At 37.4% G+C, this 15,057-nt stretch overlaps 1 protein-coding gene across 4 annotated transcripts in view, besides 1 other annotated feature; it reads right to left on the bottom strand.

Annotated features, from left to right (window-relative positions):
- The window catches only part of EIF4E (eukaryotic translation initiation factor 4E), a 49,858-nt gene that overhangs the window by 6,963 nt on the left and 27,838 nt on the right, over positions 1-15,057 (bottom strand). For 3 of the 4 annotated variants that reach the window (NM_001968.5, NM_001331017.2, NM_001130678.4), the window contains 3 exons: positions 4,999-5,094; positions 1,651-1,714; positions 841-954 (listed from right to left, as the gene is read on the bottom strand). In NM_001968.5, coding sequence (NP_001959.1) covers positions 841-954; positions 1,651-1,714; positions 4,999-5,094 — 274 coding nt within the window. Of the gene's footprint in view, positions 1-215; positions 309-840; positions 955-1,650; positions 1,715-4,998; positions 5,095-15,057 lie in introns of all 4 variants that reach the window. The other variant, NM_001130679.3, reaches the window with a different exon arrangement.
- Positions 5,938-6,152: a silencer, noted in NCBI's record as "fragment chr4:99813327-99813541 (GRCh37/hg19 assembly coordinates)". NCBI's record gives its function as "represses an EF-1alpha promoter that drives an FKBP-Casp9 reporter gene in an ReSE screen in K562 erythroleukemia cells {active_cell/tissue: K562}" and the evidence as "EXISTENCE:reporter gene assay evidence [ECO:0000049][PMID:32094911]".

Here is a 15,057-nt window from a genome sequence, read left to right on the forward strand (position 1 = left end):
GGATACAAAAGAGACTACAAACCCCGCTCCTATAAGCTTGGGGTTTGGAACCTCTGTCTACAGAAAATGCTTATTATCTCATATTTAATTTGTCTTGTAAAGCCAGAAGTTCCAGTTAATATCACAACATGTAGGTCAAATGGTAGTACACAACAATTTTATTATTTGCTTCACTAATCTAAAAAGTTTAGTGGGACAGGCACAGTGACTCACACCTGTAATTCCAGCACTTTGGGAGGCTGAAGTGGGAGGATCACTTGAGGCCAGAAGTTTGAGACCAACCTGGGCAACATAGCAAGATCCCATCTCTGGAAAAAAATTAGAAAATTAGCTGGGCATGGTGGCATGCACCTGTAGTCCCAGCTACTTAAGAGGCTGAAGTGGGAGGATCACTTGAACCCAGAGGGTGAGGCTGAAATGAGCCATATAAATAAATATCCGCACTCCAGCCTGGGCAACAGAGCAAGACCCTCGCTCTAAAAATATAAGTATTTAAAAGTTTAGTATACATATAGCAATGCTGTAAGAGGGTTGCAAAAACTTCAATCATACAAAATGTAAGGTTCTATAATTTTGAGGTTAATGAAATGACCACAGTGAGCTTACTGTGGTGAGAGTCAACTGCCAATCACTTAAAATATCTGACTTATAATGTGGTAGGATGTTTCACTGTACTATAAACAGGAGTCATATGACAGAACAAAAATAATTACTGACCCTGATTTTCTAGTGTTGGGCATCCTTCTCTTAAATTAAGTAACAAATGTAAAACATAACATATCTTAAGTATCAGTATTCCAAAACTACCTCTAAAACTGCTTTATACTTTTAAAACCTTACTGTCTCTAGCCAAAAGCGATCGAGGTCACTTCGTCTCTGCTGTTTGTTCAATGTAATTAGCCATCGTCCTCCCCGTTTGTTTTTCTCATCTTCCCACATAGGCTCAATACCATCCTACAGGGTTAGAAGACAACAGTATTACACAACATTGTTACCTTGACTTTGAGAGATAATCATTAGAAACAGTTAAGCAACAACACTGTCAACTTCTTACTTTATTGCCCATAAAACTGCCATTGATGTAGTTTTTAAACAGCACATAAGACTTAAAGCCAGAGGCATGACATTGCAGAATTAGAGTCCTGGCTTTGTCACTTATTAGCTATCAAATCTTGGGTTTCACTTAATTTGAAGGTTCTTAAACTTTCTGAGAAGCAAACATATTTTAGAAGCTCTGTACATTTCTACAGCTAGAAAATACATGCAAAAACTATGCAATTTCAGTTAATGAATGTCCCGTCCCTCTACCAACTGACAAAGCCCAATAATAAGTATTCCAAGGACCCATGCTCCTAAGGTTAAGAATGCTTGATAAACTCAGTCTGCTCAAATATATAAAGGAAGGAGTAGACTGGATAATCAAAGCTCTCATCAAAATCAATCTCAGTATGTGCCCACAGAGTAACTCTCTCTCAATTTTTATAAACAAATAGAATAAGATATATTGATACTAAAGCATACTACAGCCAATTAAATTATCAGCCTATTCATCACACTATCAAATATTCCTAAGTTTATGGTAAGATTTCTTAATGAATACCAAATGGCCCAGTCCTATAATAAATATATAAAATCACCAATTAAGCATACCTTAAAAAGTGAGTAGTCACAGCCAGGCATTAAATTACTAGACAACTGGATATGGTTGTACAGACTAGGTAAAAGAAAATAACAATTAAAAACACAGAATATGTAATATAGAGTTTAGGTGCTTACATATATATACATTTAGAACATATGATGAAAATAAACAGATAAAAGTTCATGTTTACTTGTTTCTAAGGAGTCAATTTCTAAAATGGACAAAACAGATCTTAAAAGCAGTTAAATAATCAACTTCAGATGACAGGTATAATTTTCAAAAAAACTTCTAGTGACTGCTCTGACAAAAATATATTTTATGTTAGTTAACTCAGTGCATACATATGTATATATATAAGAAACTGAGAAGAGAGGTATAAGGTGGCTTTAAGTAGATGAAATAATTTCTGAAGTTAATACACAGTTTTTTTCACAAACATAAAAAAACAAAAACAAAAACAAAAACAAAAACCAGAAACGATGAACTTCCTGACCATCAGGATTGCATGACTGAAACAGTCATTATCCTTGAAGGTATCCAAGAGTAGAATAGATCAACGGTTCCCAAACACCACAAACTGTCACTGGTTAGTCAACATAATAATCATTTTAAAACTGATTTTAGAAAAATAAATAAATAAATATAGTTACAAGCCCTACATCTTGGGATTATAATCACCTAAATATAAGATGGAACCCTGCAGTCTGTATTTCTAAACTATTTCCCAAGTATCAAAATAACAGAATAACATTTGCGATGACTTAGTTGCTTGCCTGAAGGTAGGAGGCTTAGATCATTTGATCTCCTGTAGTCTTTTACAGCAAAATTGATTTAAAAATTGGCAACTCTTAAGAATCTTTTGCTTGTCTCCAATATTAGATGGCAGAAATAATGATCTTAGCTGTGTCTACAGACCATGGATGATTCTACTATCCTTAGTCTGGTTCTCCTGGTGCTATGTTAACCCCATCTAGGAATATTTCAGGTAAAGATTTAAGGGCCGGGTGCAGTGGCTCACGCCTGTAATCCCAGCACTTTGGGAGGCCGAGGCAGGTGGATCATGAGGTCAGGAGTTCGAGACCAGCCTGACCAACATGATGAAACCCTGTCTCTACTAAAAATACAAAAATTAGCCGGGCGTGGTGGCATGCGCCTGTAATCCCAGCTACTAGGGAGGCTGAGGCAGGAAAATCGCTTGAACCCAGGAGGCGGAGGTTGCAGTGAGCCGAGATCACCCCATTGCACTTCAGCCTGGTGACAGAGCTAGACTCCATCTCAAAAAAAAAAAAAAGATTTAAGAAAGAAGTTGGCATCTTTAAATCAAATTCCATAGTATAACACACAAATATAGTTTAGGTGAGACAACCTAAGACCACATAAGGTTTGCTGAGTCACTACCTAATGGTAACTCCCAACTACATCATCAATGACAGCCTCCACTAGGCAACAAAAAAAGACGGGATACTAAGTGACTATAAAATTAGCGCTACTAATGTCATAAAATGAATGGATATTGTGGGAATGACCTTCAATAAAATACTTTTTCCCTTTTGCTGCCTCCTTTCTCTTCTGTGGTGCTCAAAGGTCTCTCAAGTAAGTCCATCATGAGAATTTATAATGGCACATCTAAACAGAATCCTAAGACTATGCAGTCTGGATAAATACAAAAGGACTCAATGGTTATCTGCAATAAATTTGCTAGAAAAAAACAGAAATTAGGAAGTGGCCCACACATTTATAGAAAACTGAAAAATCCTTCATATCTCTAAGTTATGGTATAAAAACCTACTATGTAATGACATTGACTACATGTAACTGAAGCATGGAGAACTGTTCTAATTAGAAGGTAGAATTATGTAAACTGGTAAAAGCCAAACAAACTAGATAAATGCAAATCTGATTGGGGAAGGTGGCTCAAGGCTTCCTTTTTCTCTGTAGGAGAATGAAAAGCTTTTTTTTGGGGGGTGCAGAAGACTGGAGTTATTTAAGAGTCCTGAATAAACAAAACTAGAGAAGAAAAACTACTTGATGTTTTGATGATGGGCAAAGAATAATAATCCTAGTTTAACTAGAAAACTAGACCTATAAATTATTAGGCCTTAAATGTAGTTATTATTAAGTGTCAATGCTTTTAATAAAAAATAAATACTCTCAAAGTTTACTCTCAAATGAATGTTCTCAAATACTCTCAAAGTTTATGGTTTTAATCGTATGCTTTGCTTTTTTCAGCAACACAAATGAATACAAAATATCTATTAGAAGCCAAGCACTGGAAATATACAGAAAAATATTGTTTCTGCTGTTGAAGATGTACATACATATGTATAAATTTTATACCACAATCTATTTCTTTGTATGAGCAGAATATCTTGAGGGGGTTACATTAAAACATAAGAGTAGCATCACTAATTCAGCATGTATATGATCCTAAAAAAAGATGTACAAGTTAGAATATTTAGATAACTGCTAGGTAATTTAAAGTGCTTATTAAAGAGTTTTGCCTTTCATGGTCTCAAATAGTACCTCCCTAGTCATTCTCCAAGTAAATTAGACACACTGGATTAACTTTGTTTTTAAGAGAATCAATTATCAAAACTTCTTGAAATAGACTTTACAATTTTTATTTATTTTATAGAGAAACAGGGACTCATGTTGACCAGGTTGGTCTTGAACTCCTGGCTGCAAGTGATCTTCCTGCCTCAGCATCCCAAAGTATTAGTATTACAGGCATGAGTCACTGAGCCCAGCCTTAAATTTTGTTTTAAGGTCATGCAAAAGTTGATGATCCCAATTCTTAACTTTCTGCTATACAGAAACAAAATTTCAAAAATATTTCAACTATTCTTCTTGAGGTTGATCAAAGTATAATGAAATGAATAAAGTATCATGATAGATACTGGCATTGCCTTGACAAACCGTGAATTCTGAACACTTCAGCCTTTGATATCTTAAAATCTCTGGTACAGGAAATTCCAGATATTGCACTGAAAACAGTTTGCAGAAATGAGGACCCAACAACGCACTGCAATACCCAGTTATGAGGCAAATGTATCTTGGCAACCAGGAGTGGAACAAGTTCCAACTAGCTGTCAAAAGTTCTAAGGGCAATAATGGATTCTTGAGCTAAGGATATCTCAGGACAAGAAACAATAATTGGGGCTGGGGGATGACAAGATTGAAGCTCTGTAAAACTAATAAAGCATAATCACCAATTCAAACTTTTGTGAGGAGATAAAAAAATAGATGAACATTCATTAACTGTTTAACTCACACTTCATTTTGTGAATTCGACTTAAAAATAAAAAAACTACACAACGAATAAAACAACAAACATACTAAAACAAATGGTTACTTACGCCCAAAAGTCTTCAACAGTATCAAACTTGGAGATCAGCCGCAGGTTTGCTTGCCAAGTTTTGCTTTTATCATTTTTAAAAAACCAGAGTGCCCATCTAAAAATAAAAAATCAGTGTCAAAAAATGGTAGCTGCATACCCATGTTAAAAGCAACATTATTCACAAAAGTCAAAAGGTAGAAGCAACCCACCTGTCCATCAACAGATGAATGAAAAATGTATATATACACACAATGGAATACTAAAAAGCCCTGATGAAGGAAATTCTAACACTTCATAAAACATGAGGGGAAGCTAAGGACATTAAGTGAATAAGCCAGCCCCCCTCCAAAAAAGACAAATACTGTATGATTCCACTTATATGAGGTATAAGAAGTCAAATTCATAGAAACAAAAAGAATGGTGATTGCCACTAGCCAAAGAGAAGGGAGTTTAGGGTTATAGAGTTTACAGAGTTTTGGAAGATGAACAAGAGTTCTGGAGATTAGTTGCACAATAATTGGTTGCAGAAAGTACTTAACATTAACTGTACACTTAAAAATAGTTAATACTGTAAATGTTTATGTTTACCACAAAAATTTAGGGAAAAAAGCAAAATGCTAGTTGTTATTACAGTGGCAAATAATGAGAGTTCTCCATTTCTTTCATTTAAAAGATATGTATGTTATGTCTACTACATAACAGATTCCCTGCTATACCTAGAGACCCAAGACACACTGAAACTCATCACTCAACGGAATTCACAGAAATGACGCAGAGAGACAACTACAGTGTGCTAAGTGCTCTGACAGAGATAAGCAAGCACAGTTATTTAAGAAAAACACAGCAGAGCTGGGCGCGGTGGTTCACGCCTGTAATCCCAGCACTCTGGGAGGCTGAGGTGGGCGGATCACCTGAGGTTGGGAATTCGAGACCAGCCTGATCAACATGGAGAAACTCCGTCTCTAGGAAAAATACAAAACTAGCCAGGCATGGTGGTGCATGCCTGTATTCCCAGCTACTTGGGAGGCTGAAGCAGGAGGCTACGGTGAGCTGAGATCACGCCACTGCACTCCAGCCTGGGCAACAAGAGCGAAATTCCATCTCAAAAAACAAAAAAACAAACAAAAAAAAAAAACAAAAAAAACACAGCAGACACTTAAACTATAAAATAAGACAAGGGGCCAGGCGCGGTGGCTCAAGCCTGTAATCTCAACACTTTGGGAGGCTGAGGTGGGCGGATCACGTGAGGTCAGGAGTTCGAGACCAGCCTGGCCAACATGGTGAAACCTGGTTTCTACTAAAAATACAAAAAAATTTAGCCAGGCCTGGTGGTATGTGCCTGTAATTACAGCTACTCGGGAAGCTGAAGCACGAGAATCACTTGAATCCAAGTGGTGGAGGTTGCTGTGAGCCGAGATTGTGCCACAGCACTCCAGCCAGGGCAACAGAGGGAAACTCTGTCTCAAAAAAAAAAAAAAAAAAAGAAGGCGAGAAACAGGTTGGCTGATATTTCTCAGAGGAACAAATTAGCCAAGAAGAAATGAGAGTGCCAGGAGTGGGGAAACTATTAAATGTGATTCTATATTTAATCAAATACCTAACTGGGAAAATAATAAAGATTGAGTAATGCTGCATAGATATGTTCTGAAATAATGTATACCAGTTTTAATATATCTGTATATACTTCTCTTAAAATAGTTTTATTCCTACATAATACATAATAGCTTATATATACCTAACATATTATATATAGAGGCATACCTTGGATATATTGTGAGTCCAGTTCCAGATCATCATAATAAAGTGAGTATCACAATAAAGGAACTATCTTTAAGGAGAGTCACACAAATTTTTTGGTTTCCCGGTGCATGTAAAAGTTACGTTTACACTATACTGTAGTCTACATTATGTCTGAAATAGCATTACATCTAAAAAAAAATGTACATACCTTAATTAAAAATTCTATTGCTAAAAATGCTAACGATCATCTGAGCCTACAAAGAGTGGTAATCTTGCTGATGGAGGGTCTTCCCTTGTTTGCTGCTGACTGATCAGAGTAGTGGTTGCTGAAGATTGGGGTGGCTGTGGCAATTTCTTAAGACAACAACGAAGTCTGTCACACTGATTGACTCTTCATTTCACAAAAGATTTCTCTGTAGCATGCAATGCTGTTTGTAAGCATTTTACATAGTAGAATTTCTTTCAAAATTGGAGTCAATCCTCCCAAACCCTGCAGTTGCTTTATCAATTTGGTTTATGTAATATTCAAATCCTTTGTTGTCACTTCAACAATGTTCACAGCATCTTCACCAGGAATAGATTCCATCTCAAGAAACCTTTTTTTCTGCTCACCCATAAGAAGCAACACCTTATCCATTCAAGTTTTCTCATGAGACTGCAACAATTCAGTAACATCTTCAGGCTCCATTTCTTACTGTTGGTCTCTTGCTCTCTGCACATCTGCAGTTACTTCTTCCACTAAAGTCTTGAACGCTTCAAAGTCATCAATACGGGTTGGAATCAAATTCTTCCTAACTCTTGTTCATGTTGATATTCTGACCTCCCATGAATCATGAATGTTCTTAATGACATCCAGAATGCTCAATCCTTTCGGAAGGTTTTCCATTTACTTTGTCCAGATCCATCAAAGGAATCACTATCTACAGCATTTAGCCTCATGAAATATAGTTCTTATTAATAAATAATAAGGCTTGAAAGTCAAAATTCCTCTTTGCTGCTCCATACGCTGCAGAAAGTACACTGTGTTAAGAGGCATGAAAACAATTCATCTCTGTCAGAGCTCTTGGGCGACTAGGCGCATCATCAAGGAGCAGTGATATTTTGAAAGGAAACTTTTTTTCTGGGCAGTAGGTTTCAACAGTAGGCTTAAAGTATTCAGTAAACCATGCTATAAATCGATGCACTGTCATCCAGGCTTTGTTGCTCCATTTCTAGAGCATGGGCAGAGTGGATTTAGCATCATTCTTCAGGATTCTTAAGATTTTGGGAATGGCAAATGAGCACTGGCTTCAACTTAAAGTCATTGGCTGCAAGATCCCCTAACAAGAGTCAGCCTGTCCTTTGTAGCTTTGAAGCTAGGCAATGACTTCTCTCTAACTAGCAAAGTCCTAGAAGATGGCATCTTCTTCCAGTAGAAGGCTGTTTCGTTTACACTGAAAATCTGTTTTTAGTGTAAACTTCCTTCATCAATTACCTCAGCTAGATCTGGAGATTTTGCTGCAATTTCTATATCAGCCCTTGCTGCTTCACCTTGTACTTTTATGGGGGTGACTTTCCTTATACCTTATAACTGACCTCTGCCAGCTTTCAACTTTTATTCTGCAGCATCCCCACCTCTCTCAGCCTTCATAACACTGAACAGAGTTAGGGCCTTGCTATGGATTAGGCTTTGTCATAAGGGAATGTTGTAGCTGGTTTTATTTACTACCCAGACCACTTGAACTTACTCTATATCAGCAATAAGGCTGTTTTGTTTTCTTATCATTCATGTGTTTGCTGGAGGAGGACTTTCGATCTCCTTCAAGAATTTTTCCTTTGCTTTCACAACCTGGCTAACTTATTTGGTACAACAGACCTAGCTTTTGGCCTGTGTTGGCTTTTGACATGTCTTCCTCGTAAGCGTAATCATTTCAAGCTTTTGATTTAAAGTGAGAGACATGCAACTCTTCCTTTCACTATAACATGTAGAGGCCACTGTAGGGCTATTAATTGGCTTAATTTCAACATTGTTGTGTCTCAGGGAATAGGCAGGCCCAAGGACAAGAAGATGGGAATGGCCAGTCAGTGGAGCAGTCAGAACACATACAACATTTATCAATTAAGTTTGCCATCTTATATCGCCAATGTTCATGGCACCCCAAAACAATTATAATAGCAACATCAAAGATCACTGATCACAGATCATAACAGATACAATAAAAGTTTGAAATATCGTGAGAATTACCGAAATGTGACACAGAGACACCAAGTGAGCACATGCCATTGGAAACATGGCATCAACAGAACTGCTTGACACAGGATTTCCACAAACCTTCAATTTATAGAAAAGGCATGATTTGTGAAGCACAGTAAAATGAGGTACGCCTGTATAATATTTTCTCTAATGCCTTGAAGATAAACTCGTGGAACATTAAAGTTACACTTAAATGTTATTATCCCAAGATGATTCTCCTTTAGAAGAATTAAACTGAATATTCTCTGAATTACAATACCAAAGGGCAGTCAAAGGGAAATTTCATTTTCTCATCAACACGAATGTTGTCTGAAGAGCCTTCCAAATTGAATATATATTTCATAATCCTATAATTAATGCTTGGTAACTTCACCTAGACAGAAAAATGAGATGCATTTCAACATGTACTTGATAATTTGTCAGCAACTGCCACCCCATTATCAATAAAAAAGAAGAAGAAAAGGCAAGAAAACCACCAACGAGGTCAAGTATACATGCTGGATTTTTAAAAATAATTCAATCTTTTTTCAAAACAAAAACCTCTGCACCCAGCCATTTAAACACATAAAGATCTATGGGGCCAGGAAAGGTGGATCATACCAGTAATAACAGCATTTTAGGAGGCTGAGGCAGGAGGATCACTTGAGCCCAGGAGCTCAAGACTAGCCTGGACAACAAAGTGAGACCTCATCTCTACTAGACATTTAAAAAATTAGCCAGGCATGGGCTGGGCGCAGTGGCTCACGCCCGTAATCCCAGCACTTTGGGAGGCCAAGGTGGGTGGATCATGAGGTCAAGAGATCGAGACCATCCTGGCCAACACGGTGAAACCCCGTCTCTACTAAAAATACAAAAATTGGCTAGGCGTGGTGGCACGCGCCTGTAGTCCCAGCTACTCAGGAGGCTGAGGCAGGAGAATCGCTTGAACCTGGGAGGCGGAGGTTGCAGTGAGCCGAGATCGCACCACTGCACTCCAGCCTGGTGACAGAGCGAGGCTCCATCTCCAATAAAATAAAATAAAATAAAATAAAATAAGCTAGGCATGATGGCATGTGTCTATAGTCCCTGCCACTCTGGAGGCCAAGGCAGGAGGATTGCTTGAGCCAAAGAGTTCGAGGTTGCAGTGAGCTATGATCATGCCACTGCACGCCAACGTGAGTGATAGAGCAAGACCCTGTCAAGGAATGGGACAGGGATGGGGACAGGGACAGGGAATGGAAGGGGAAGGGGAAAGGACTGCTTGAGGTCAGGAGTTTGAGAACAGCCTGAGCAACATAGCAAGACCCCGCATCTCTCAAAAAAAAAAAAAAAAAAAAAAAACACCTTAGCTAGCCATGGTGGTGCACACCTGTGGACCTAGCTACTTAGAAAGCTGATGTGGGAAGGTCATTTGAGCCCAGAAATTTGAGGCTGCAGTGAGCTATTATCATGCCACTGCTCCCCAGTCTGGGCGACAGAATGGGACCATGTCTCTTCCAAAAAAAAAAAAAAAAAAAAAAAAAAAAAGCCAGGCATGTTGGTTCATGCCTGTAATCCCAGTATTTTGCGAGGCCGAGGTGGATGAATTGCTTGAGTCTACGAGTTCAAGGCCAGCCTGGGAAATAGCAAAACTCCAACTCTACAAAAAATACTAAAATGGTGGTGGTGCATGCCTGTGGGGCCCCAGCTGGGGTGGAAAGATGGCTTGGGTACGGAAGGTGAAGGCTGCAGTGAGCCGAGATTACACGCCACCCCAGCCTGGGTGACAGAGTGAGACCCTGTCTTCAAAAACAAACAAATGACGTTTTTAGTTTTGGAAAATTTGAAAACATCTTAAGTGCTTATCAACAAGGAATTATTTAAATCAGCAGTTCTCAAAATGTGGTCTGCAGACAGGCAGGAGGCCCTAAGATCCATTTTCATAATAATGCTAAGAAGGCACTTTGCTTTTCAGTATTCACATTTGCACTAACGGTGCAAAAGCAACAGTAGTTAAATCTGCTGGTGCCTTAGCAAGAACCAAGACAGTGACACAAAACTATACGAGTAGTCACTGTACATTTATTACTACCAACTCTCACAGTACTAATAATGTGAGTTTCATATAAGAATGCCTTTGGGCCAGGCATGGTGGCTCACACCTGTAATTCTAGCACTTTGGGAGGCTGAGGTGGGTGGATCACCTGAGGTCAGGAGTTCAAGACCAGCTTGGCCATCATGGTGAAACCCTGTCTCTACTAAAAATACAAAAATTAGATGGGCATGGTGGCAGGTGCCTGCAATCCCAGCTACTTGGGAGGCAGACGCATGAGAATGAACCCAGGAGGCGGAGGTTGCAGTGAGCCAAGATCGCACCATTGCACTCCAGCCTAGGCAACAAAGTGAAACTCCGTCTTGAGAACAAAAAAAAAGGAATGACTTTGATGAGGCAATAAACATTACCAGTTTCATTAAATTTCATTCTATTTCCATATTTTTCATAATCTGCACAAAAACCACTTCCACTACTGTAAAACAAAATACAATATTTAGGCAATTGTCTGAACTTAAGATTGTTGCTTAAAATTTAAGCTTTCAGTAGAAAAATCAGAATTTTAGAAAGATTTCATCTGCCACTGTAAGCCTGACAACTTCCTAAAAATCAAAGACGCTTAATGAGTTTAGAGGTAATATTAATGAATTATTATTGTTTGATACTATATAAGAAAATGTGTCAACATTGGAAGATCTGCATAACTCACTGAACCATTATTTTCCAAATAAGCAGTGTATGATGTTAAAAATCTTACACAGGTAAGAGATCCATTCCAGATGCAAGACACTGACAGACCAATGGATTTTAATGTAACAAAGTAGAAAAAAATTCTTGGATATGGTTTCAGATTCCACATTGCAACTAGCCTCTAAGAAACCTAGTATCTCTTTGAGCATGTGTCCTACGAAAAAGGGGGGGGAAAAAAGAAACCTAGTAGTGTATCAAAGGAGCATATCAACAATTATTTTTAAAGGCTTTTAAAAACTATTCTCCCTTTTCCAACCAAATACCTGTGTGAGGCTGTATTGTCTTCTTATACTTCCAATGAAACATCTTAACTCCATAGACTGAAGGCAGAAACAGCTATGAAAATCCAGTTGACTTCTAAGACGGCAAAAATGCGGCCAGGTGCGGTGGCTCATGCCTGTAATCCCAGCACTTTGCGAGGCCGAGGTGGGTGGATCATGAGGTCAGGAGTTCAAGATCAGCCTGGCCAACATGGTGAAACCCCGTCTCTATTAGAAACTACAAAAATTAGCCGGGCATGGTGGCACACACCTGTGGTTCCGGCTACTAGGGAGGCTGAGGCAGAAGAATCGCTTGAACCCGGGAGGTGGAGGTCCAGCCTGGGCGACAGGGCGAGACTCCGAAAAAAAAAAAAACAGATGGCAAAAATGCTGTTCTTCCCATTATATATTTTTTATTTCAAATAATTATTTTCATTACAAAATGTCACTTAGGTTAACATGTGATAGATTTTCTAAACGAATAATTTTACATTTCTCAAGTTTTTCAGGTGAAATTATACATTTTTAAATGTGAAAAATAAAATAACATCTTAGCATTATTTACTGTAAAAATATAGTAAATAACAATAGATAAAAATCCACATAAAGCTCTGTAGAGTCACCAATAATTTTTAAGAGTGTAAAGGAATTGTGAGACCAAATACTTGAGTACTGCTGATTTAAATAAAATATCATACATCCACGCAAGTGACTACTATGCAACTATTAAAAAGTTTAAAAAAAAAAGCTTAACTGTGTGGTAAAGTTTTCCTAAAATTGATATGAAACCCAGAAACCACTGAGGAAAAGCAGTATTTGCCTACATGAAAATTAAAGACCTCTAAAAAAAAAAAAACCATACAATTCCACAGACAATGTTAGAAGACAAATGATATGGATAACCTGTTTCTTTCTGACTTAATACTCCTCCAACTTCCCTGCCTTGGGTGAGTTAGCACTCTAATATAAAATGCTTGGAAATAAACTTGAAAAGATATTCCATAACTTGTTAGCTTGAAAGTAGGGGAAAAAAAAGATAATCCAAAAGAAAAAAAATAGAAGAACTGAATAATCTGTCCTCAGATAAAAACCACAAATCATCAATATGAAAATATTTTGAAACTTCAATTTTAAAATGCAAATTGAAAATACTGAAATTGTTTTCCCAAATCAGACTGGGACCAATCTGATTGGCAACAACTTAAAAGACTAATCACATGAGTTAGCAAGGATATAGAAACCAGGAACTCTCAAACTGTTAAGTCTAAGCCAATAAAACAGAATAATGTGGCAGTATCTGCGCAAAGGTTGTTAAAGGGTAATCTTTGTTCTAGGAGATCTGAAATTTTACCCTATATATTCACACAAGTGCACAATTATGTAAGGATGTAAATTACAGCACTGTGTGTAAAAAGAAAAATCTATACAGCCATTAATGTAAACCTAATAAAATATATGGTGGTATATCAATATAATGCAAGACGGTGGTTTAAAACAATGAGGTAAAATATGCACATACAAACAGAAAAGTCAACTGTATAGACGTATGTATTAAAAAGTATACATATGTGCATTTAATACTTCTGGAATACAAACCAAATTTAACATTGACTACTCTGGGGAGTGAAGAAAGTAAAATGCAAGAAGTAAATAATGAGAAAACTGCCAAAATTGGAGCCATAAAACATAGTATTTTTCCAAATGATACTTGCTATTTTACACAAAAAGTAGAATTTATAGAGAAACTGAAGTCCCCAGAGACTTCATTTTAAGATTTAAACTTTTTTTTTTTTTTTAAACTGATGAGGACACTTAAGAATCCCTTCTTAGACTCCATTCAAGCTGTGAGGGATATATGCCTTGTTTACTTCTCCCCACAATAAAAGTGACACCAAGAACTAGGTTCACAGACAGCTAGAAGATATACAGTTTGTTTCATATCACTGAAAAAAATGAAAAAAAAATGTGGGTTTTGGTGCTACTATTAGGTTAAACTATATAAGACTGCCTCTAACGAATTGTTCAACCTAATACATGTGGTACATTGCTTCCCTGAGGAAGGATTTTATCCTTTATAGACTGTTTGACCTCTGATGTCCCACTAGCTGAGAATCTCCATTGTCTAAAAAACTGATTTGTTCCTCACTGGAGGATATACTGAACCAAAGGGTCTCCTATGAGAAAACTGCATACAGCATATTTGAACTATTTATTTCAGTAGGTCTTCCATGATGAATAAAGGAAACATTTAAAAAAATTGAGATCATAAAAAAATTTTAATAAATGAAACAATTATAAATAGACTTGTGGACTCTTTTAAGTAGAGAGTGAATGGTCTGCCCTAAAAAAAGTAAATAAAAACAAAAAAAGACAAGAAATGAACTGAAATACTTCAAGAACCTCAGAAGTTAATTCCAATTTACTTTCCTCTAGATTGTTACAATGTTTCTGAACTGCCATTTTCTTCCCACCATCAGCATTCAGTGAACTCAAGTTAATTCTCATATACCCCAGAAAATAAATAAAAACAAACCTACTGGAAAGGAGTGGGAAGAGTTGGGAAAAGCCATATAATGAACTAATACTCAATTTCCTGTTACACTATTAACTATGAAAACTTAACTAATTTTAATCTGTCCCCTTTTCTAGTCTCTCACTTACAAACCAACCAACCTTCAAACTCCACATTCCCTGGCTCTCGTTTCTCATTCTCAGTCCAACTTCAAGTCACCTGTTCTTACTCTATACATCTGTATATCTCCTATTCACTCTTCAAACTGCCCTAATCTCTTTTTCCATGTTTTATGGAACTACTCTATGGAACCTTACTAAAAAACTTTTTCCCAAGTCAGCACGGACTTTTTTAAAAGTGTTCAATCCAATGGATATTTTGACATCTTGCTTCATTTGACCTTTTTAGCACATGTGCTGTAAACCACCCTATCTTAGAATAAACCACCTTCTTGGTTTCCATGACCACCACTGTCTCTTTTTTTTTTTTTTGAGATGGAGTTTCGCTCTTGTTGCCCAGGCTGGCAGGCAATGGCGCGATCTCAGTTCACTGCAACCTGCACCTCCTGGGTT

Source organism: Homo sapiens, chromosome 4, assembly GCF_000001405.40.
Source record: "Homo sapiens chromosome 4, GRCh38.p14 Primary Assembly".
Taxonomy (NCBI): domain Eukaryota; kingdom Metazoa; phylum Chordata; class Mammalia; order Primates; family Hominidae; genus Homo; species Homo sapiens.